At 44.9% G+C, this 20,065-nt stretch overlaps 2 protein-coding genes across 2 annotated transcripts; both read left to right on the top strand.

The window, feature by feature from the left end:
* Window positions 10,650-13,934, top strand: CT47A1 (cancer/testis antigen family 47 member A1). The gene is made up of 3 exons (NM_001080146.3): window positions 10,650-11,622; window positions 12,510-12,665; window positions 13,804-13,934. The coding sequence occupies exons 1-2, from the start codon at window positions 10,881-10,883 to the stop codon at window positions 12,632-12,634; spliced, it is 867 nt and encodes a 288-aa protein (NP_001073615.1). The 5' UTR covers window positions 10,650-10,880; the 3' UTR covers window positions 12,635-12,665; window positions 13,804-13,934.
* On the top strand, window positions 15,482-18,804 carry CT47A2 (cancer/testis antigen family 47 member A2). The gene is made up of 3 exons (NM_001080145.2): window positions 15,482-16,482; window positions 17,370-17,525; window positions 18,664-18,804. Exons 1-2 carry the CDS (start codon window positions 15,741-15,743, stop codon window positions 17,492-17,494), a joined length of 867 nt encoding a protein of 288 aa, NP_001073614.1. The 5' UTR covers window positions 15,482-15,740; the 3' UTR covers window positions 17,495-17,525; window positions 18,664-18,804.

The raw sequence follows: 20,065 nt of genomic DNA, 5'->3' as shown, positions 1-20,065 counted from the left end.
ACACCTTATTCAGAGGTCAGAAGGGGAGAAAACAAGGGCCAATAAATGCTGTCAGCAGCTGAGATACATCCACATAACTAGATGTGTTCTGAAAAAAATGTTTATTATTTTAGCTAACATGTATTGAATGCTTATAATGGGCCAGCTTTTTCTAGGGATTCATAATTTTTATTGCAGCTAAATCTCACAATAACTCTAAGAGATAGGTGCTGCCAAGATGCTCAATTTACCACTGAAGAAATCAAGCCTCTGAAATTTAGATAATTTGCCCCAAGTCTCACAAATAGTTAAATGACAAAGCTAGAAATTGAAGTCATGCAGTCTGATTCCAAGATTACAGCTCTTAACAGTTATAATGCTCAAGGGAAACAATTAGGCAAAAAAAAATGTATTGAGGAATACCATCTCAAAACTCATTTATCTATTTAAAATCACATAATTTGTAAGTCAGTTTATTAAGCCAAATATTAGACTCTCCTTATTCATTGCCATTTAAATCTGAGGGTTCTCTCCATGGACTTTGACAGTATTAACTAAAGGATATATGTACTGTATATTGTATACAATCAACATTTACTCAATAGGCTCAGTTAATTTGCATAACTCTAGGTAGGCTTCTTCTGTCTCTAGTCTTCTGTCCTGAGTCTTCTGTCCGATTTCCACCTGAGAGTCCTGAGCAACAGAAGTTAAGAGCTGGTGGCAAAAGCTATCACTTCATGTTGAAAGAGAAGGGAGGAAAATTCCAAGAACAATAGTGATGACTTTTCCAGAAAAGTGGCAAGCCATTTACCCATAGGTTACCTTATCTTGAGGTAATCATAAACTCTGCCATTGAAGACATTATTTCAGTAACTTTTGTTGCCTTAGACTAAAATTTACTATTTATTGACTTCACGGCTAATCACTGTCTCTGTCTCCACTCTAATGAAAACCATTTCAGGATAAGTATAAGAGCTAAGTAGTAATTTGTTGCAAGAATAAATCAGATGCTACAGGCTCCCAACTTCTATTTCTATTTCCACCTTGGTGTAAATGCCATTTCTTTTCTCCTCAGATAATCAGATGAGCCATTAATGGGCACTATATAAGGAGGAACCAGAGAAAGATTCAACAGAAGGTCTCTTCTGCAAGTAGAAGGGACCGCATTTTATCTGAAGCAGTTCTGCTTTACTTCAGAGAGATAAAAGAACTTCCACTTCCAAGGAGGTCAAGGATAGGATGAAGTAAGAGGCAAAAATGATCTTGTGTACGTTACCTAGTAATAAAAGTATTCCCACGTTTTAACATAACTGTTCTGAAGCTATTCCAAAATAGCTGCATCAAAATGTCTCCAGTGCCTAAAATGGTAATATTTAAAAGATGGAAGAGCAGATGCACTACTTTACATTTCTCCCACTAACTACAATTAACAACTCTGGACATTACATACAAAAAAACATGTGAAGATTCTAAAAGGTGGAGAAAAGGGGAATGAGCAACTAGGGGACTTGGGACCCAAGGAATGTCATGGTATTAAATTCTATGGTTTTATTCTTGCCTCATATATTTTTAATTGGGTTATTAGAACCCTGTAACCAGGAAGCACCAATGACTGCAGACTTAAAATGTTTCAAGAAAAACCTGCTCTCTCTAGCCAAAGGACCAGGAAAATGGCAGGCTAACGAGACGGAAAACTTTTAGAAAATAATCACCCTACTTCAGTGTCTTAGTTTGTTTTTGCTACTACAACAGAATACCACATACTGGGTAATTTACAATAAACAGAAATTTATTGGCTCACCATTTTGGAAGCTGAGAAGTCTGAGATCAAGGTGCTGCCATCTGGTGAGGGCCTTCTTCCTGCATAATAATATGGCAGAAGGCATCACATAGTGGAAGGGCAAAGAGAAGATGATACAGTGAGCAAGAGGGAGCAAGAAAGTGAGCAAGAGGAGGCAAACCCATTCCCATGATAATGGCATTACTCCATTCGTGAGAGTGGAACCCCCATGACCTAAATACCTTTTAAAGATCCCACCTCCCCTCATGCCTGTAATCTCAGAATTTGGGGAGGCCAAGGTGGGCAGATCACTTGAGCCCAGAAGTTCAAGACCAGTCTGGGCAACAAAGAGAGACCCTGTCTCTACAAAAAATAAAATAATTAGCTGGGTGTGGTGGCATGCACCTGCCGTCCAAGCTGAGGTGAAGGGAAGCTGAGGCAGGAGGATCATTTGAGCCTGGGAGTTCGAGGCTATGGTGAGCTATGATCGCACAACTGCACTCCAGCCTGGGTGACAGAAAGAGACACCATCGCAAAAGAAAAAAAAGGGTCCCACTTCCCAATGTAATCAAAATGGAAATTAAATTTCAACATGAGTTTTGAAAGGGACAAACATTTAAACCATAGCATTCAGTCAAACACCATGGAAAAAAATAAAAACCTACGGTCTCATCCCAACCCATGACAGCACAGGCCAAGTGGTAAACCTAGACTCCTACCTTCATAAAGCTGTAACAAGGCACCTCTTCCCTTCTCCCTCTCCACTGCCAGGGTGGTGACAAAGAAAGCTGAGTGGGTAGCCAGAACTTTCATTCTAGCCTGGCCTAGTGGTAAGGAGGCCCTCTTCAAGGGTGATAGTGGAAGCCACGTGAAAAAAACAGTAGCAAAGCACCCTTTTCCCTCCCAGCCAGTATCTGCAGAGTACTACTGGGGACTTGAAATTCCATCCCTGCCCAGAAGTAATGAGGGTCTCCTCTTTCTGAGATGTCAAAGGAGACCTAGTGGGAAATAGGCATGGGACTTTCATTCACAACTAACAGTAATGAGGCAGTATACCATTCATTGTGCTGGTGTAGTAAATAGTCATTATCTACTCAGTGATAAATATTGTATGCTTTAAAGAATAATCTTGGGTGTGGCTGGCAAGATGGCCAAATAAAAACAGCTCCAGTCTGCAGCTCCCAGAGAGATCAATGCAGAAAGCAGGTGATTTCTGCATTTCCAACTGAGGTACCCGGCTCATCTCATTGGGACTGGTTAGACAGTGAGTGCAACCCACGGAGGGCGAGCTGAAGCACGATGGGGTGTCTTCTCACCCAGGAAACACACAGGAGGTTGGGAAACTCCCTCCGGTAGCCAAAGGAAGCCGTGAGGGACTGTGCCATGAGGAATGGTGCATTCCGGCCCAGATACTACACTTTTCCCACGGTCTATGCAACCCACAGACCAGGAGATTCCCTCGGGTGCCTACACCACCAGGGCCCTGGGTTTCAAGCACAAAACTGGGCGGCTGTTTGGGCAGAAACAGAGCTAGCTGAAGGAGTATTTTTTCAGACCCCAGTGGTGACTGGAACACCAGCGAGACAGAACCGTTCACTCCCCTGGAAAGGGTGCTGTGGCCAGAGAGCCACGTGGTCTAGCTCAGCGGATCTCACCCCCACAGAGGCCAGCAAGCTAAGATCCACTGGCTTAAAATTCTTGCTGCCAGCACAGCAGTCTGAAGTGGACCTGGGATGCTCGAACTTGGTGGGAGGAGGGACATCCACCATTACTGAGGCTCGAGTAGGCGGTTTTCCCTCACAGTGTAAACAAAGCTGCCTCGAAGTTTAATCTGGACGGAGCCCACTGCAGCTCAGCAAAGCCGCTGTAGCCAGAATGCCTCTCTAGATTCCTCCTTTCTGGGCAGCGCATCTCTGAAAGAAAGGCAGCATCCCCAGTCAGGGTCTTATAAATAAAACTCCCATCTCCCTGGGACAGAGCACATGAGGGAAGGGGTGGCTGTAGGCACAGCTTCGGCAGACTTAAACGTTCCTGCCTGCTGCCTCTGAAGAGAGCAGCGAATCTCCCAGAACAGCGCTCAAGCTCTGCTAAGGGACAGACTGCCTCCTCAAGTGGGTCCCTGACCCCTGTGCCTCCTGACTGGGAGACACCTCCCAGCAGGGGTCGACAGATATCTCATACAGGAGAGCTCCGGCTGGCATCTGGCTGGTGCCCCTCTGGGATGAAGCTTCCAGAGGAAGGAACAGGCAGCAATCTTTGCTGGTCTGCAGCCTCCGCTTATGATACCCAGGCAAACAGGGTCTGGAGTGGACCTCCAGCAAACTCCAGCAGACCTGGAGAAGAGGGGCCTGACTGTTAGAAGGAAAACTAACAAACAGGAAGGAATAGTGTCAATATCAACAAAAAGGACGTCCACACCAAAACCCCATCTGAAGATTACCAACATCAAAGACCAAAGGTAGATAAATCCATGAAGATGAGGAAAAACCAGCACAAAAAGGCTGAAAATTCCAAAAACCAGAATGCTTCTTCTCCTCCAAAGGATCACAACTCCTCGCCAGCAAGGGAACAAACTGGACAGAGAGTGAGTGTGACGAATTGACAGGAGTAGGCTTCAGAAGGTGGATAATAACAAACTCCTCCAAGCTAAAGGAGCATGTTCTAACCCAATGCAAGGAAGCTAAGAACCTTGATAAAAGGTTAGAGGAATTGCTAACTAGAATAACTAGTTTAGAGAAGAACATAAATGACCTGATGGAGCTGAAAAACACAGCACAAGAACGTTGTGAAGCATACACAAGTTACCAATAGCCAAATTGATCAAGTGGAAGAAAGGATATCAGAGATTAAAGATTAACTTAATGAAATACAGCGTGAAGACAAGATTAGAGAAGAAAGAATGAAAAGGAATGAACAAAGCCTCCAAGAAATATGGGACTATGTGAAAAGACCAAATCTACGTAAATCTAAAGTGAAGACTTTAACTCACACCATGTAAGAAGACAGGAAGTTGGCTTACATGTGAATTCTCTGACCTCCAAAAGTTGCAATTTGGCATGAGGTAATCACAAAACAAACACATTTAACACTAGTATAAGCCCCTCTAATCTTATATATACTGGCCCATTTTAATTGTTGTCAAATGAAAACATTTTTTTTCCTCTGAAGTTAATTTCTCAATCTAAAAACAGAGATGTCTAAGGAAATTACCAACATTTTACAGAAATTCAAAACAACCTTAATCTTACTAACCCATTGGAGGCTCATCCAATTCATAAACATGATCTTGCAACTTAACATTTGGTTTTGTACCTTGTACACCTTGTACAGTTAACCAATGTAGAGAAAACAATCATCAAATAAGTGTTTATTTACTATGTTCCAGGCACCATTCTAGGTGTTTGGGTAAATATCAGTGGAAACGGACAGTTTCCTTATAGCATCTAGAGTGGTGGTAGTAGGGATAGAGGATAAAAACAAAGATAAAATTAGTTAAATTAGTACAAGGGCTAGAAAGGAAACAAAACAAGGTAGTGACATAATAGTGATCGGGGTGGAGGTAGGTAACAGCTTTAGTCAAGGTGGTCAGGAACAAACCCCATGAGTGCCCTTTGACTAAAACCTGAATGCCAAGGAGGCAGTCATTGGACAACCTGGGAGGAAGACCCATGAAAATAACTAAGAACATAAAAATGAGGGTGAAAACTTGCAGTAATACTTCTAGAAATGTCTTCTATGCAAAGGGCAAGCAGGCAAAGGGGTTTCAAGACAAAGGGCAAACTCAGTGAATGATTGAATTACTAGAGTCTGGAGTATTTGCCCTGCAGCTTCTAGTGGACAGCCCAGCCCTTTCAGGCCAAAGGGCAAACTCTTTAGAGAAGCATTCATTATTCATCGCCCCATCTGCTTTATTTTTCTATTTCTTTTATTCTTAATTTTTGTGGGTACATAGTAGGTGTATATATTTATGGGATATATGAGATGTTTTGGTACAGTTATGCAATGTGAAATAAGCACATCATGGAGAATGGGGTATCCATCCCCAGCCCCATCTCCTTTAAAGGCCCATCTGCCACTCTGCCCAATGCTCTAGCCATTTCATTGCCTTGGACCAATATGCACACACCGCTGCCATTATCCATGCTGCTTCCTTTACTTGCAATGACTTTCCCCCAATCTTTATTGCCGGTTGAACTCCTAGTTTCAGAACTCAGCTGAAATGCCTCTTGTTGAGCACCTTCCCAGGCACCAACCCGCTTTCCCTGCCATCCCCTCAACCTTAGCTAATCATTCTGTCTCCTGAGATCCCACAGTACCTTGTGTTCATCCCTGTTATAGTTCTTGACACCTTGTGTCATCATCATCCAAATGTTTGTCTTCCCCTCTAGACCATGAACTAGATAGATCAAGCCATGGATCTTAAGCACCAATGCGTCCCCAGCCCTTGACATAACTCCAGGCCTATAGTAGGTGCTCAATATATGCTCACTGGATGATTGAATGACTAGGGTCTGGAGTATTTTTCCTACAGCTTCAAGCGGACAGCCCAGCTCTTCATGACCTAGGAAGACACTTCTATAGTTTTCGGTTTTGGTTTTTTGGTAATATGCTCCTCTAAAGTGAATAGCAATGGTCCTGTTGAAAGTTGTGAAGCAAAACTGGATGGACATTGACAGAAAGGAGGTAAAAGAAAAAAAGTAGAAATACTATAAGTATACAAAAACCATCTACCTGACTGTATTTGTTTTCACTAAGAAAGAGTAGAACCAGTCTTGGTGACAGCATTGCAGCAGGAAACAGGGGTGCTCCATTGGGCACCTTCCTCACCACAAGACTTCCATCAAATCCCCTATGTCTATTTTCTTGCCAGAGGCAATATCACTTCCTTCCCCAACTCCAAAGCTTAGAATATGTGGAAGTTTTGAACAAAGTGGGGATTTGCTCTAGATTAGGTGCTATCAGAAAGTGGGTGCAGTTCTGATTGGTATTTCGATAAATCTTATTTATAGAGAGGGGCTATTAGAACCAGGATAAAGCTGTAATTGGTAAATAAGTGGTACTCATTTTAATCAAGAGAAGCTAAGTTTAGTATTTTGTTTAGTATTTTGTGACTTCATTTTTCTCTGCTTGAATAAAATTATAAAGTGGCCTTGCTTTGTCTCTTTTTATCATGGACATAGAGTGATCCTGTCTGATGTTGGTGTTCTATGCAATTGTTTATATCCAGTAGGAGAATAAGATGGCTTAGCTGTGAGTGCCAGGTCAGCTCTGAATGTCAGGTGCTGCATTTTTTTTTTTTTTTGAGATGGAGTTTCGCTCTTGTCACCCAGTCTGGAGTGCAGTGGTGTGATCTCGGCTCACTGCAACCTCTGCCTCCTAGGTTCAAGCGATTCTCTTGCCTCAGCCTCCCAAGTAGCTGGGATTACAGGCACGTGCCAAAACGCCCAGCTAATTTTTATTTTATTTTTAGTAGAGATTGGGTTTCACCATGTTGATCAGGCTGGTCTCGAACTCTCGAGCTCAGGTGATCTGCCCGCATCGGCCTCCCAAAGTGCTGGGATTACAGGCGTGAGCCACCGCGCCCGGGCGTCAGGTGCTGCTTTTTTACCTCCATTCTCAATACACAATCCTTTCTCCCGACTAGACTGTGAGATTCTTCTTGCCAGAGGTGGTGGCACCTGCTTCTCTGTCCCTAGCAAGGTTTTACACAAGGCATTGAATGTAGGTGTTTAGTAAATATTTGCTGATTGATTCAGAGTCAGGAGGACAGGCTTGCCTGAATTTCAGAGACCCTCAACTCATAGCCATTTATTTATTTGGGTAATTAACCTTGTGCTGTCAAATTGCACCTGAAGCTGTATGTACAATAAGCATGCCTGTCTCAATTTCGGATTAAAGGTCAGAGGATGTTGGTTCTACTCCTGGCTCCTCCATTGAGTAGTATGACATTGGAAAGCCAGTTAACTACTCCAGGCCTTAATTTTTCCACTTAAAAAAGAATAAGCTTGGACTCAATAGCTAAAGGCCGTACCAAGCTCTGAAATTTGGGGAAAATGAGTTTTCTCTTGCATGTTTTCTACCTTTACAGAAAGTGCTAAAGCGTACATGGCCACACATCAGTACACAGGGGAAGAGTTACTCAATAAGTGGTGGTATAGGTGAGCTGTTCAAAATAAAAATCATCTGAGACTTTAATCTCACACTATGGATTAAGGAGCTAAAGGTAAACATTAAGAAGATCCCCAAAAAGAAAATATAAAATAAAAATTCTCTGTACAAGAAGATTTACAAATTTACAGTGAAGTCAAAACCATTAAAAAATTATTGTTAGACTTTTGGAACATACAAATGAAAAACTAAATACTTGGAAACATTAACCAACTTAGAAGGCAAAATCAAACTGGGAAAATATTTTCAACAAATAATTAATATTGTAAATATAATTCCATCTCATTCCATCTACCTATCTCACTCAAATCTTGACTGAAGTCAGGGTATTAGCCAGGGGAGTATATAACTCCATGTAGCTAGGAAAAAACGGATTCCTCCAAATCCAAATTAGAGGGTTCTCTGAAGGCCTGAGAGACTACAGTCATTCCTAGTTATCCATGGGGGATTTGTTCCAAGACCTCCTGCAGATACCAAAATCTGCAGATGCCCAAGTTCCAGATATAAAATGGCATAATATTTGCATATAACCTATGCACATTATCATGTATACTTTAAATCATCTCTAGATTATTTGTAATACCTAATACAATGTAAATGCTATCTAAATAGTTGTTATACTATATTGTTTAGGGAATAATGACACAAAGAAAGTCTGTACATGCTCAGTGCATATGCAAATTCTGAATATTTTTGATCCAGTTAGTTGAATCCACACATGCAGAATCCATAGATACAGAGGGCCAAATATACCTGACGGCTTCTCTCCAATAATTTAAGAACAGGGAAAAATTATTTTTGATGTAATCATATACATGTATAGTATTTTACAGTACAAAAAGGGTTTTCATCCCATTATCTTACTTGATTCTCAGATCAACCTTGGGAGGTAGCTAGAGAATCATTATCTTAACTTCACAAATGATAAAACTGAGGCATAGAAATAAATAACTTTCCAAACATCGCATCAGGAAGCAAATATTAAAGCAACTCCAGACCTCAGACTGGGGTTCTGCCTGGGTTTTGCTGTCTTAATAGTGAGTATTTTGGATTAGAAATTTTCCACATTGTCTTCCAGATTTAAACCAATGACTTGTGACAGCACCATGCCCCTTTTTTAGATGAAACTAGAGAAAAATAGAAGCACTGAAATTTGACTGAGTTGATGAAAGGAACAACAATGACCTGCTCAACTTGATGAGATTTAATGGTACTAATATTGCTCAATTTAATACATGAAATATGCTACCTGCAATTTTTTTCAGAGAGCAGTTGTAGTGTGACAAAAAATTTCATAGAATGAACACAAAATAACAGTTGATTTCTCCAAAATGTTCAGAATTACTTACTACTTGAATCTTGATTAAGCGGGTTTTGAAATCAACAAAAAGCCTTGGGCTGTTGCTTGAAATATCCTAGGAAGCCTGTCCTTTTGGTGTTTTGTTTAGTTTTTTTTTTTTAATTATTTTGAGACTGAGTCTCGCTCTGTCACCCAGGCTGGAGTGCAGTGGGGACATCTCAGCTCACTGCAACCTCCACCTCCCAGGTTCCAGCAAATTTCCTGCCTCACTGTCTTGAGTAGCTGGGAATATAGGCGCACACCCCCACACCCAGCTAATTTTTTGTATTTTTAGTACAGACAGGGTTTTACCATATTGGTCATGCTGGTCTCGAACTACTGACCTCAGGTGATCTGCCTGCCTCGGCCTCCCAAAGTGCGGCCTCCCAAAGTGCTGGATTACAGGCGTGAGCCACCACCCCCAGGCACTTTTGGTGTTTTTGATGCTTAGCTCTTATGAGATGACCTGGTCCTTTTAAAAAAAGTATCTCTTTTTTTCCCCATTATTTGGAGGTTTGAAGTGAATTTGGCAGGATTCATTAAACACCTTCCAGTGTCTGTCATTTACCACCTCAACACTCAGTGATGACTGCATCCATTTCAACTCTGCACATTCTTTTCTAAGTAGCTTTAACTACGTTAACTCAGTGAAATTCTTATGTCTCTTGGGAGGTTTTCACTACTGCTTAGCTATGAACTATATAACATTTTTATGACACTATCTCTACTGGCATGAGCCATTACTAGGTGGAAATAAGTGAACTCTGTGACCGCCTTGCAGTTCCCATGCTCCAGGGTGCCTCCACATGGGACTACTATAGTGTTGCTAATAATCATAAAATTAAAAGGGCAGGACTTGTGTGGACCTAAAGGGGTAGCCTTGGACACTAAGGCCTCATAGAAAAGGTAGAGCTCGGCCTGGCACGGTGGCTCATGCCTGTAATCCAAGCACTTTGGGAGGCTGAGGCAGGTGGATCACAAGGTCAGGAGATCGAGACCATCCTGGCCAACATGGTGAAACCCTGTCTCTACTAAAAATACAAAACCTAGCCAGGCGTGGTGGCATGTACCTGTAGTCCCAGCTACTCAGGAGGCTGAGGCAGGAGAATCACTGGAACCCAGGAGGCGGGGATTGCAGTGAGCCGAGATCTTGCCACTGCACTCCAGCCTGGGCAACAGAGCAACACTATGAAAAGAAAAGAAAAAGCTCTGGATTCTGGATTCTCAGTTCTAGAGCTTAAGGGCCTTGATCATTCATTGGACATAGAACATGTCAATCTGAAGTTTTCAGCAAATGAGCTTAGGGCTCACTGAGAGCCCCTCGTTGACCCTTCCGGTCCCGCCCCCTTTCGCCTGCCAACCAGAATCTTTCCCAACTTGTCTAAGTCCTCTCAGGCCAGCCTTGGTGGGAGGTTTCTAGGATTCGCTCCCTGCCCTTCCCATCTTAGGGTGTCGTCTGAGACAGACTCTTATTCCCTCAATAAAGAGAGAGACTCTTATTCCCTCAGCGGCCAGCTCCTCGCCTCCCCTCGGCCGTAGCCACCTCAGTGGTCACCGTCTTCACCGTGGTCGCCTCAGCCCGCTCGCCACCCCAGTTGAGGCGCTGCTGGTGTCATGTCTGCCACAGGGGACCGACACCCGACCCAAGGGGACCAGGAGGCCCCGGTAAGCCAGGAGGGAGCACAGGCCGAGGCGGCCGGAGCTGGTAACCAGGAGGGCGGCGACTCCGGCCCCGACAGCAGCGACGTGGTGCCTGCGGCCGAGGTGGTCGGAGTCGCAGGGCCCGTGGAAGGCCTCGGGGAGGAGGAGGGTGAGCAGGCGGCAGGCCTGGCCGCAGTCCCCCGGGGCGGGAGCGCCGAGGAGGACTCAGATATCGGGCCCGCGACGGAGGAAGAGGAGGAGGAAGAGGGGAACGAGGCGGCCAACTTCGACTTGGCGGTGGTCGCCCGTCGCTACCCGGCGTCGGGCATTCACTTCGTGCTCCTGGACATGGTCCACTCCCTTCTCCACCGCCTCTCTCACAACGACCACATCCTCATAGAGAACCGTCAACTCAGCCGCCTGATGGTGGGGCCACACGCTGCTGCGCGCAACCTCTGGGGCAACCTCCCCCCGCTGCTGCTGCCCCAGAGGCTGGGTGCAGGGGCCGCAGCCCGGGCGGGCGAGGGCCTGGGCCTGATCCAGGAGGCCGCATCGGTCCCAGAGCCTGCAGTGCCAGCTGACCTGGCCGAGATGGCCAGGGAGCCCGCGGAGGAGGCCGCAGAGGAGAAGCTCTCAGAGGAGGCCACAGAGGAACCAGACGCAGAGGAACCGGCCACAGAAGAACCGACCGCACAGGAGGCCACGGCCCCAGAGGGTAAGGAACGGGCTAGCGGCAGCAGCGGGGAGGCGGGGACCCGTGTGTCCCAGGGTTCTAGGCAGGGCCGCGGTGCGGGCATAGCTGGTGAAGCGGGTGGTGAAGGGGGGTCGGGGCCTCGGGTGGTGAAGCAGGAGTCGGGGCCCTCCTGAAACTTAAGGCAGAATGTGTCCCAATGAGTCGAAGCCCAATTCTCTAACGACATCTGTGGTTTTGAGAAAACTTGTCGCCCTCTACCAACCTATATTTGATAGGAGATCTGAGATCATCGGTGCCATTTGTGAGCCCGCAGATGAATGGCCGGGTAGATAGGGGTTCAGGAGGGAGCTCCGCAGGAAACAGAAGGGATGCGCCAAGGAAAAGAACAGGCAAATGGCAGGCATCCCTTTTAGTTCATGGCTTTTCAAAGTGTAAAGATTCGTAGAAAGTTGATCCCCCAAATGATGAAGTGATGCAGGAGCACTTGGTAAAAATGAAGCATTCAGGGGGGTGAGGAACCAATGAGCTTCACCATAGAATTTGTCTTTTGAGGTAAACAAATATTTTCCCAACAAAGTTCTGACCAAAACACCGTAGAATGAGATCGGACCCGATGATTCAGATCTCTTCTTCTCCAAAGAACTAGAAATAATCAGCCGCTTTGGGTGGGAGATTTACTGGAAAAAAGGGAAATACAGTGTCCCTGTGGAAATGATCAAGCAGCAGCAACGTGAGGGCCATGGAACTGTTGTGAAAACCAGTAGGAAGGTGCCCAGCTATTCCTTTCTTACTTAACTCTATCCTGCTTCTCCTGAGGGTGGAGTAGCTGAATGCCGCTGCTAGTTATAAATTGGGCTATATTTTCTGTGAATGTCTGGTCCCCATGTGTGTATTATTCTTCCCTAAAGAAGTCACTAAATCTCAGCCCGAAAAGTGGGATGAAGAGGCCCAAGATGCTGCAGGCGAGGAAGAGAAAGAACAAGAAAAAGAGAAGGATGCAGAAAACAAGGTGAAGAACTCCAAAGGGACCTAGACGCAGCAGAGGTGAAGCCAAGAAAATCCAGGTATCTGTGTATAGCTTTGAGAATCACTCAACTATTCCTGGCATTTACCTGTTGCAGACAGTTTTATTGAACAACAACAAAAATTCTCAGTAAGTTAAGTAAGAAAAAGTTTAAAATTAGTTTAAAAATTCAATATAACTTACTTAAAATGTTACGAGAATATTCATGTACCTAGTAATATGAACTGCAGTGTGTTCTGAAATATACTTCTTGGCTACTCATTTGTTCATGTTGAGGTCTTTTGTCCTCTAGCTGCAAGACTACTAACAAGTGGCAGATGTATCAGACCTACTACCAGGACCAATATTTGTGTAGAAAACAGTTGCCAGACACAGCCGCTAACTTGGCTGGGCCACGCATTAGTTGGGCCTTCGTTACTTGACCACAGAAATGCAGGCTCCCGTAGTAACTAGGAGACAACTCAATGCCTTTTACAAAGTGACTACTTAAAAATAGCAAAAAGCTAAGAATTTCAAGTAGGACCACAATGAATGATTAATACCTAGATATTTATTTGGCTATATATTTTGGTATTTTATGTCACAGTCAGATGAAAAGAATGTGTGTTTATCACTGAATTGGTAATGAAGTCTTAAGGTATATCCATCTTTGAGTGTATTTAAATGGTTAACATTTTTCTTTCTTTCTTATTTATTTATTTATTTTGCATTTTCACAGCCGTATATTTCGTAACGGCTTCTTTCCCACATGGTAGATACGGAAACCAAGGGTCTGGGAGGGTAAGGGAGTATTATTTGTGGAACCAGCACAGGCTGTTGAAGCTTGAGAGATTTATTTAAATCCCAGAATGGCCCCTCATGTAAAAACAAAAGCAACAAGCTTTTCTAGTGCTAGGCAGACAAGGTTGGTGTGATCATTTGACTGAAACCTTCAGTTCCACAAGCACCCTGATATCCAAGCTCGTGAGTTACAAAAGGAAAAGATGGGCTTCTCTACTTGTTTAAGATATAGCACACAAATGTTGCAGATATACACAGAGCTGGCCATTTTCTTCTATTTAGAAAGTCACTGGTGCTGGTTAATGTTGTACTATTGTTTATCATCTCTCATTTCATCCCACAGTCGGGAGGAAAAGAAAGAAGACTCTGTTGTTCATTGTTTTTATCTTTTTCTCCAGATGCCTGTGGGAATTGTAACACATATCATTCCAAAGTTCGTTACATCAAAAGTGATATCCAGTGACATCTAACTTTCATGGATGTATGTGACAGTGTTCAAGTTAAAAAATAAAAGTTTGTTTTAAATGAATAAACTGAAACGTGGGAAGATTTTTCAATAAGTAATCTTAACTCAAATCTCTCCTTTACGTCTTTGTTTTGGCCCACCATACCTTCATTGAAAGATATTACTTTCCGCCATTTGGTAAGACTCTTTGAAATTCTTTCACTGCAGCCAAAAATCAAGTAAAATGACAAGTTTAAAACAATTTTTGAAAAGAGAGAGATGGGGCTCATCTTTAGAGCTGTGTGTTGTGACTACTGAGCACTTGTAATACGGCTAGTCTGATTTAATATGTGATGCAAGTGTGAAAATAATATTGCATATATTACTAATTTTTTTTTTTTTTTTTGAAACTGAGTCTCGCTCTGTCACCCAGGCTGGAGTGCAGTGGGGCCATCTTGGCTCACTGCAACCTCCACCTCCCAGGCTCCAGCAAATTTCCTGCCTCACCCTTCCGAGTAGCTGGGACTACAGGCGCGCACCACCATGTCCAGCTAATTTTTTGTATTTTTAGTACAGACAGGGTTTTACCATATTGGTCATGCTGGTCTCGAACTACTGACCTCAGGTGATCTGCCTGCCTCGGCCTCCCAAAGTGCGGCCTCCCAAAGTGCTGGATTACAGGCGTGAGCCACCACCCCCAGGCACTTTTGGTGTTTTTGATGCTTAGCTCTTATGAGATGACCTGGTCCTTTTAAAAAAAGTATCTCTTTTTTTCCCCATTATTTGGAGGTTTGAAGTGAATTTGGCAGGATTCATTAAACACCTTCCAGTGTCTGTCATTTACCACCTCAACACTCAGTGATGACTGCATCCATTTCAACTCTGCACATTCTTTTCTAAGTAGCTTTAACTACGTTAACTCAGTGAAATTCTTATGTCTCTTGGGAGGTTTTCACTACTGCTTAGCTATGAACTATATAACATTTTTATGACACTATCTCTACTGGCATGAGCCATTACTAGGTGGAAATAAGTGAACTCTGTGACCGCCTTGCAGTTCCCATGCTCCAGGGTGCCTCCACATGGGACTACTATAGTGTTGCTAATAATCATAAAATTAAAAGGGCAGGACTTGTGTGGACCTAAAGGGGTAGCCTTGGACACTAAGGCCTCATAGAAAAGGTAGAGCTCGGCCTGGCACGGTGGCTCATGCCTGTAATCCAAGCACTTTGGGAGGCTGAGGCAGGTGGATCACAAGGTCAGGAGATCGAGACCATCCTGGCCAACATGGTGAAACCCTGTCTCTACTAAAAATACAAAACCTAGCCAGGCGTGGTGGCATGTACCTGTAGTCCCAGCTACTCAGGAGGCTGAGGCAGGAGAATCACTGGAACCCAGGAGGCGGGGATTGCAGTGAGCCGAGATCTTGCCACTGCACTCCAGCCTGGGCAACAGAGCAACACTATGAAAAGAAAAGAAAAAGCTCTGGATTCTGGATTCTCAGTTCTAGAGCTTAAGGGCCTTGATCATTCATTGGACATAGAACATGTCAATCTGAAGTTTTCAGCAAATGAGCTTAGGGCTCACTGAGAGCCCCTCGTTGACCCTTCCGGTCCCGCCCCCTTTCGCCTGCCAACCAGAATCTTTCCCAACTTGTCTAAGTCCTCTCAGGCCAGCCTTGGTGGGAGGTTTCTAGGATTCGCTCCCTGCCCTTCCCATCTTAGGGTGTCGTCTGAGACAGACTCTTATTCCCTCAATAAAGAGAGAGACTCTTATTCCCTCAGCGGCCAGCTCCTCGCCTCCCCTCGGCCGTAGCCACCTCAGTGGTCACCGTCTTCACCGTGGTCGCCTCAGCCCGCTCGCCACCCCAGTTGAGGCGCTGCTGGTGTCATGTCTGCCACAGGGGACCGACACCCGACCCAAGGGGACCAGGAGGCCCCGGTAAGCCAGGAGGGAGCACAGGCCGAGGCGGCCGGAGCTGGTAACCAGGAGGGCGGCGACTCCGGCCCCGACAGCAGCGACGTGGTGCCTGCGGCCGAGGTGGTCGGAGTCGCAGGGCCCGTGGAAGGCCTCGGGGAGGAGGAGGGTGAGCAGGCGGCAGGCCTGGCCGCAGTCCCCCGGGGCGGGAGCGCCGAGGAGGACTCAGATATCGGGCCCGCGACGGAGGAAGAGGAGGAGGAAGAGGGGAACGAGGCGGCCAACTTCGACTTGGCGGTGGTCGCCCGTCGCTACCCGGCGTCGGGCATTCACTTCGTGCTCCTGGACATGGTCCACTCCCTTCTCCACCGCCTCTCTCACAACGACCACATCCTCATAGAGAACCGTCAACTCAGCCGCCTGATGGTGGGGCCACACGCTGCTGCGCGCAACCTCTGGGGCAACCTCCCCCCGCTGCTGCTGCCCCAGAGGCTGGGTGCAGGGGCCGCAGCCCGGGCGGGCGAGGGCCTGGGCCTGATCCAGGAGGCCGCATCGGTCCCAGAGCCTGCAGTGCCAGCTGACCTGGCCGAGATGGCCAGGGAGCCCGCGGAGGAGGCCGCAGAGGAGAAGCTCTCAGAGGAGGCCACAGAGGAACCAGACGCAGAGGAACCGGCCACAGAAGAACCGACCGCACAGGAGGCCACGGCCCCAGAGGGTAAGGAACGGGCTAGCGGCAGCAGCGGGGAGGCGGGGACCCGTGTGTCCCAGGGTTCTAGGCAGGGCCGCGGTGCGGGCATAGCTGGTGAAGCGGGTGGTGAAGGGGGGTCGGGGCCTCGGGTGGTGAAGCAGGAGTCGGGGCCCTCCTGAAACTTAAGGCAGAATGTGTCCCAATGAGTCGAAGCCCAATTCTCTAACGACATCTGTGGTTTTGAGAAAACTTGTCGCCCTCTACCAACCTATATTTGATAGGAGATCTGAGATCATCGGTGCCATTTGTGAGCCCGCAGATGAATGGCCGGGTAGATAGGGGTTCAGGAGGGAGCTCCGCAGGAAACAGAAGGGATGCGCCAAGGAAAAGAACAGGCAAATGGCAGGCATCCCTTTTAGTTCATGGCTTTTCAAAGTGTAAAGATTCGTAGAAAGTTGATCCCCCAAATGATGAAGTGATGCAGGAGCACTTGGTAAAAATGAAGCATTCAGGGGGGTGAGGAACCAATGAGCTTCACCATAGAATTTGTCTTTTGAGGTAAACAAATATTTTCCCAACAAAGTTCTGACCAAAACACCGTAGAATGAGATCGGACCCGATGATTCAGATCTCTTCTTCTCCAAAGAACTAGAAATAATCAGCCGCTTTGGGTGGGAGATTTACTGGAAAAAAGGGAAATACAGTGTCCCTGTGGAAATGATCAAGCAGCAGCAACGTGAGGGCCATGGAACTGTTGTGAAAACCAGTAGGAAGGTGCCCAGCTATTCCTTTCTTACTTAACTCTATCCTGCTTCTCCTGAGGGTGGAGTAGCTGAATGCCGCTGCTAGTTATAAATTGGGCTATATTTTCTGTGAATGTCTGGTCCCCATGTGTGTATTATTCTTCCCTAAAGAAGTCACTAAATCTCAGCCCGAAAAGTGGGATGAAGAGGCCCAAGATGCTGCAGGCGAGGAAGAGAAAGAACAAGAAAAAGAGAAGGATGCGGAAAACAAGGTGAAGAACTCCAAAGGGACCTAGACGCAGCAGAGGTGAAGCCAAGAAAATCCAGGTATCTGTGTATAGCTTTGAGAATCACTCAACTATTCCTGGCATTTACCTGTTGCAGACAGTTTTATTGAACAACAACAAAAATTCTCAGTAAGTTAAGTAAGAAAAAGTTTAAAATTAGTTTAAAAATTCAATTTAACTTACTTAAAATGTTACGAGAATATTCATGTACCTAGTAATATGAACTGCAGTGTGTTCTGAAATATACTTCTTGGCTACTCATTTGTTCATGTTGAGGTCTTTTGTCCTCTAGCTGCAAGACTACTAACAAGTGGCAGATGTATCAGACCTACTACCAGGACCAATATTTGTGTAGAAAACAGTTGCCAGACACAGCCGCTAACTTGGCTGGGCCACGCATTAGTTGGGCCTTCGTTACTTGACCACAGAAATGCAGGCTCCCGTAGTAACTAGGAGACAACTCAATGCCTTTTACAAAGTGACTACTTAAAAATAGCAAAAAGCTAAGAATTTCAAGTAGGACCACAATGAATGATTAATACCTAGATATTTATTTGGCTATATATTTTGGTATTTTATGTCACAGTCAGATGAAAAGAATGTGTGTTTATCACTGAATTGGTAATGAAGTCTTAAGGTATATCCATCTTTGAGTGTATTTAAATGGTTAACATTTTTCTTTCTTTCTTATTTATTTATTTATTTTGCATTTTCACAGCCGTATATTTCGTAACGGCTTCTTTCCCACATGGTAGATACGGAAACCAAGGGTCTGGGAGGGTAAGGGAGTATTATTTGTGGAACCAGCACAGGCTGTTGAAGCTTGAGAGATTTATTTAAATCCCAGAATGGCCCCTCATGTAAAAACAAAAGCAACAAGCTTTTCTAGTGCTAGGCAGACAAGGTTGGTGTGATCATTTGACTGAAACCTTCAGTTCCACAAGCACCCTGATATCCAAGCTCGTGAGTTACAAAAGGAAAAGATGGGCTTCTCTACTTGTTTAAGATATAGCACACAAATGTTGCAGATATACACAGAGCTGGCCATTTTCTTCTATTTAGAAAGTCACTGGTGCTGGTTAATGTTGTACTATTGTTTATCATCTCTCATTTCATCCCACAGTCGGGAGGAAAAGAAAGAAGACTCTGTTGTTCATTGTTTTTATCTTTTTCTCCAGATGCCTGTGGGAATTGTAACACATATCATTCCAAAGTTCGTTACATCAAAAGTGATATCCAGTGACATCTAACTTTCATGGATGTATGTGACAGTGTTCAAGTTAAAAAATAAAAGTTTGTTTTAAATGAATAAACTGAAACGTGGGAAGATTTTTCAATAAGTAATCTTAACTCAAATCTCTCCTTTACGTCTTTGTTTTGGCCCACCATACCTTCATTGAAAGATATTACTTTCCGCCATTTGGTAAGACTCTTTGAAATTCTTTCACTGCAGCCAAAAATCAAGTAAAATGACAAGTTTAAAACAATTTTTGAAAAGAGAGAGATGGGGCTCATCTTTAGAGCTGTGTGTTGTGACTACTGAGCACTTGTAATACGGCTAGTCTGATTTAATATGTGATGCAAGTGTGAAAATAATATTGCATATATTACTAATTTTTTTTTTTTTTTTTGAAACTGAGTCTCGCTCTGTCACCCAGGCTGGAGTGCAGTGGGGCCATCTTGGCTCACTGCAACCTCCACCTCCCAGGCTCCAGCAAATTTCCTGCCTCACCCTTCCGAGTAGCTGGGACTACAGGCGCGCACCACCATGTCCAGCTAATTTTTTGTATTTTTAGTACAGACAGGGTTTTACCATTTTGGTCATGCTGGTCTCGAACTACTGACCTCAGGTGATCTGCCTGCCTCGGCCTCCCAAAGTGCGGCCTCCCAAAGTGCTGGATTACAGGCGTGAGCCACCACCCCCAGGCACTTTTGGTGTTTTTGATGCTTAGCTCTTATGAGATGACCTGGTCCTTTTAAAAAAAGTATCTCTTTTTTTCCCCATTATTTGGAGGTTTGAAGTGAATTTGGCAGGATTCATTAAACACCTTCCAGTGTCTGTCATTTACCACCTCAACACTCAGTGATGACTGCATCCATTTCAACTCTGCACATTCTTTTCTAAGTAGCTTTAACTACGTTAACTCAGTGAAATTCTTATGTCTCTTGGGAGGTTTTCACTACTGCTTAGCTATGAACTATATAACATTTTTATGACACTATCTCTACTGGCATGAGCCATTACTAGGTGGAAATAAGTGAACTCTGTGACCGCCTTGCAGTTCCCATGCTCCAGGGTGCCTCCACATGGGACTACTATAGTGTTGCTAATAATCATAAAATTAAAAGGGCAGGACTTGTGTGGACCTAAAGGGGTAGCCTTGGACACTAAGGCCTCATAGAAAAGGTAGAGCTCGGCCTGGCACGGTGGCTCATGCCTGTAATCCAAGCACTTTGGGAGGCTGAGGCAGGTGGATCACAAGGTCAGGAGATCGAGACCATCCTGGCCAACATGGTGAAACCCTGTCTCTACTAAAAATACAAAACCTAGCCAGGCGTGGTGGCATGTACCTGTAGTCC

The sequence above is a fragment of the Homo sapiens genome, chromosome X (assembly GCF_000001405.40).
Source record: "Homo sapiens chromosome X, GRCh38.p14 Primary Assembly".
NCBI lineage: Eukaryota > Metazoa > Chordata > Mammalia > Primates > Hominidae > Homo > Homo sapiens.
Note: the sequence above shows the minus strand (reverse complement) of the source record. Positions and strands in the feature narration are given on the sequence as shown.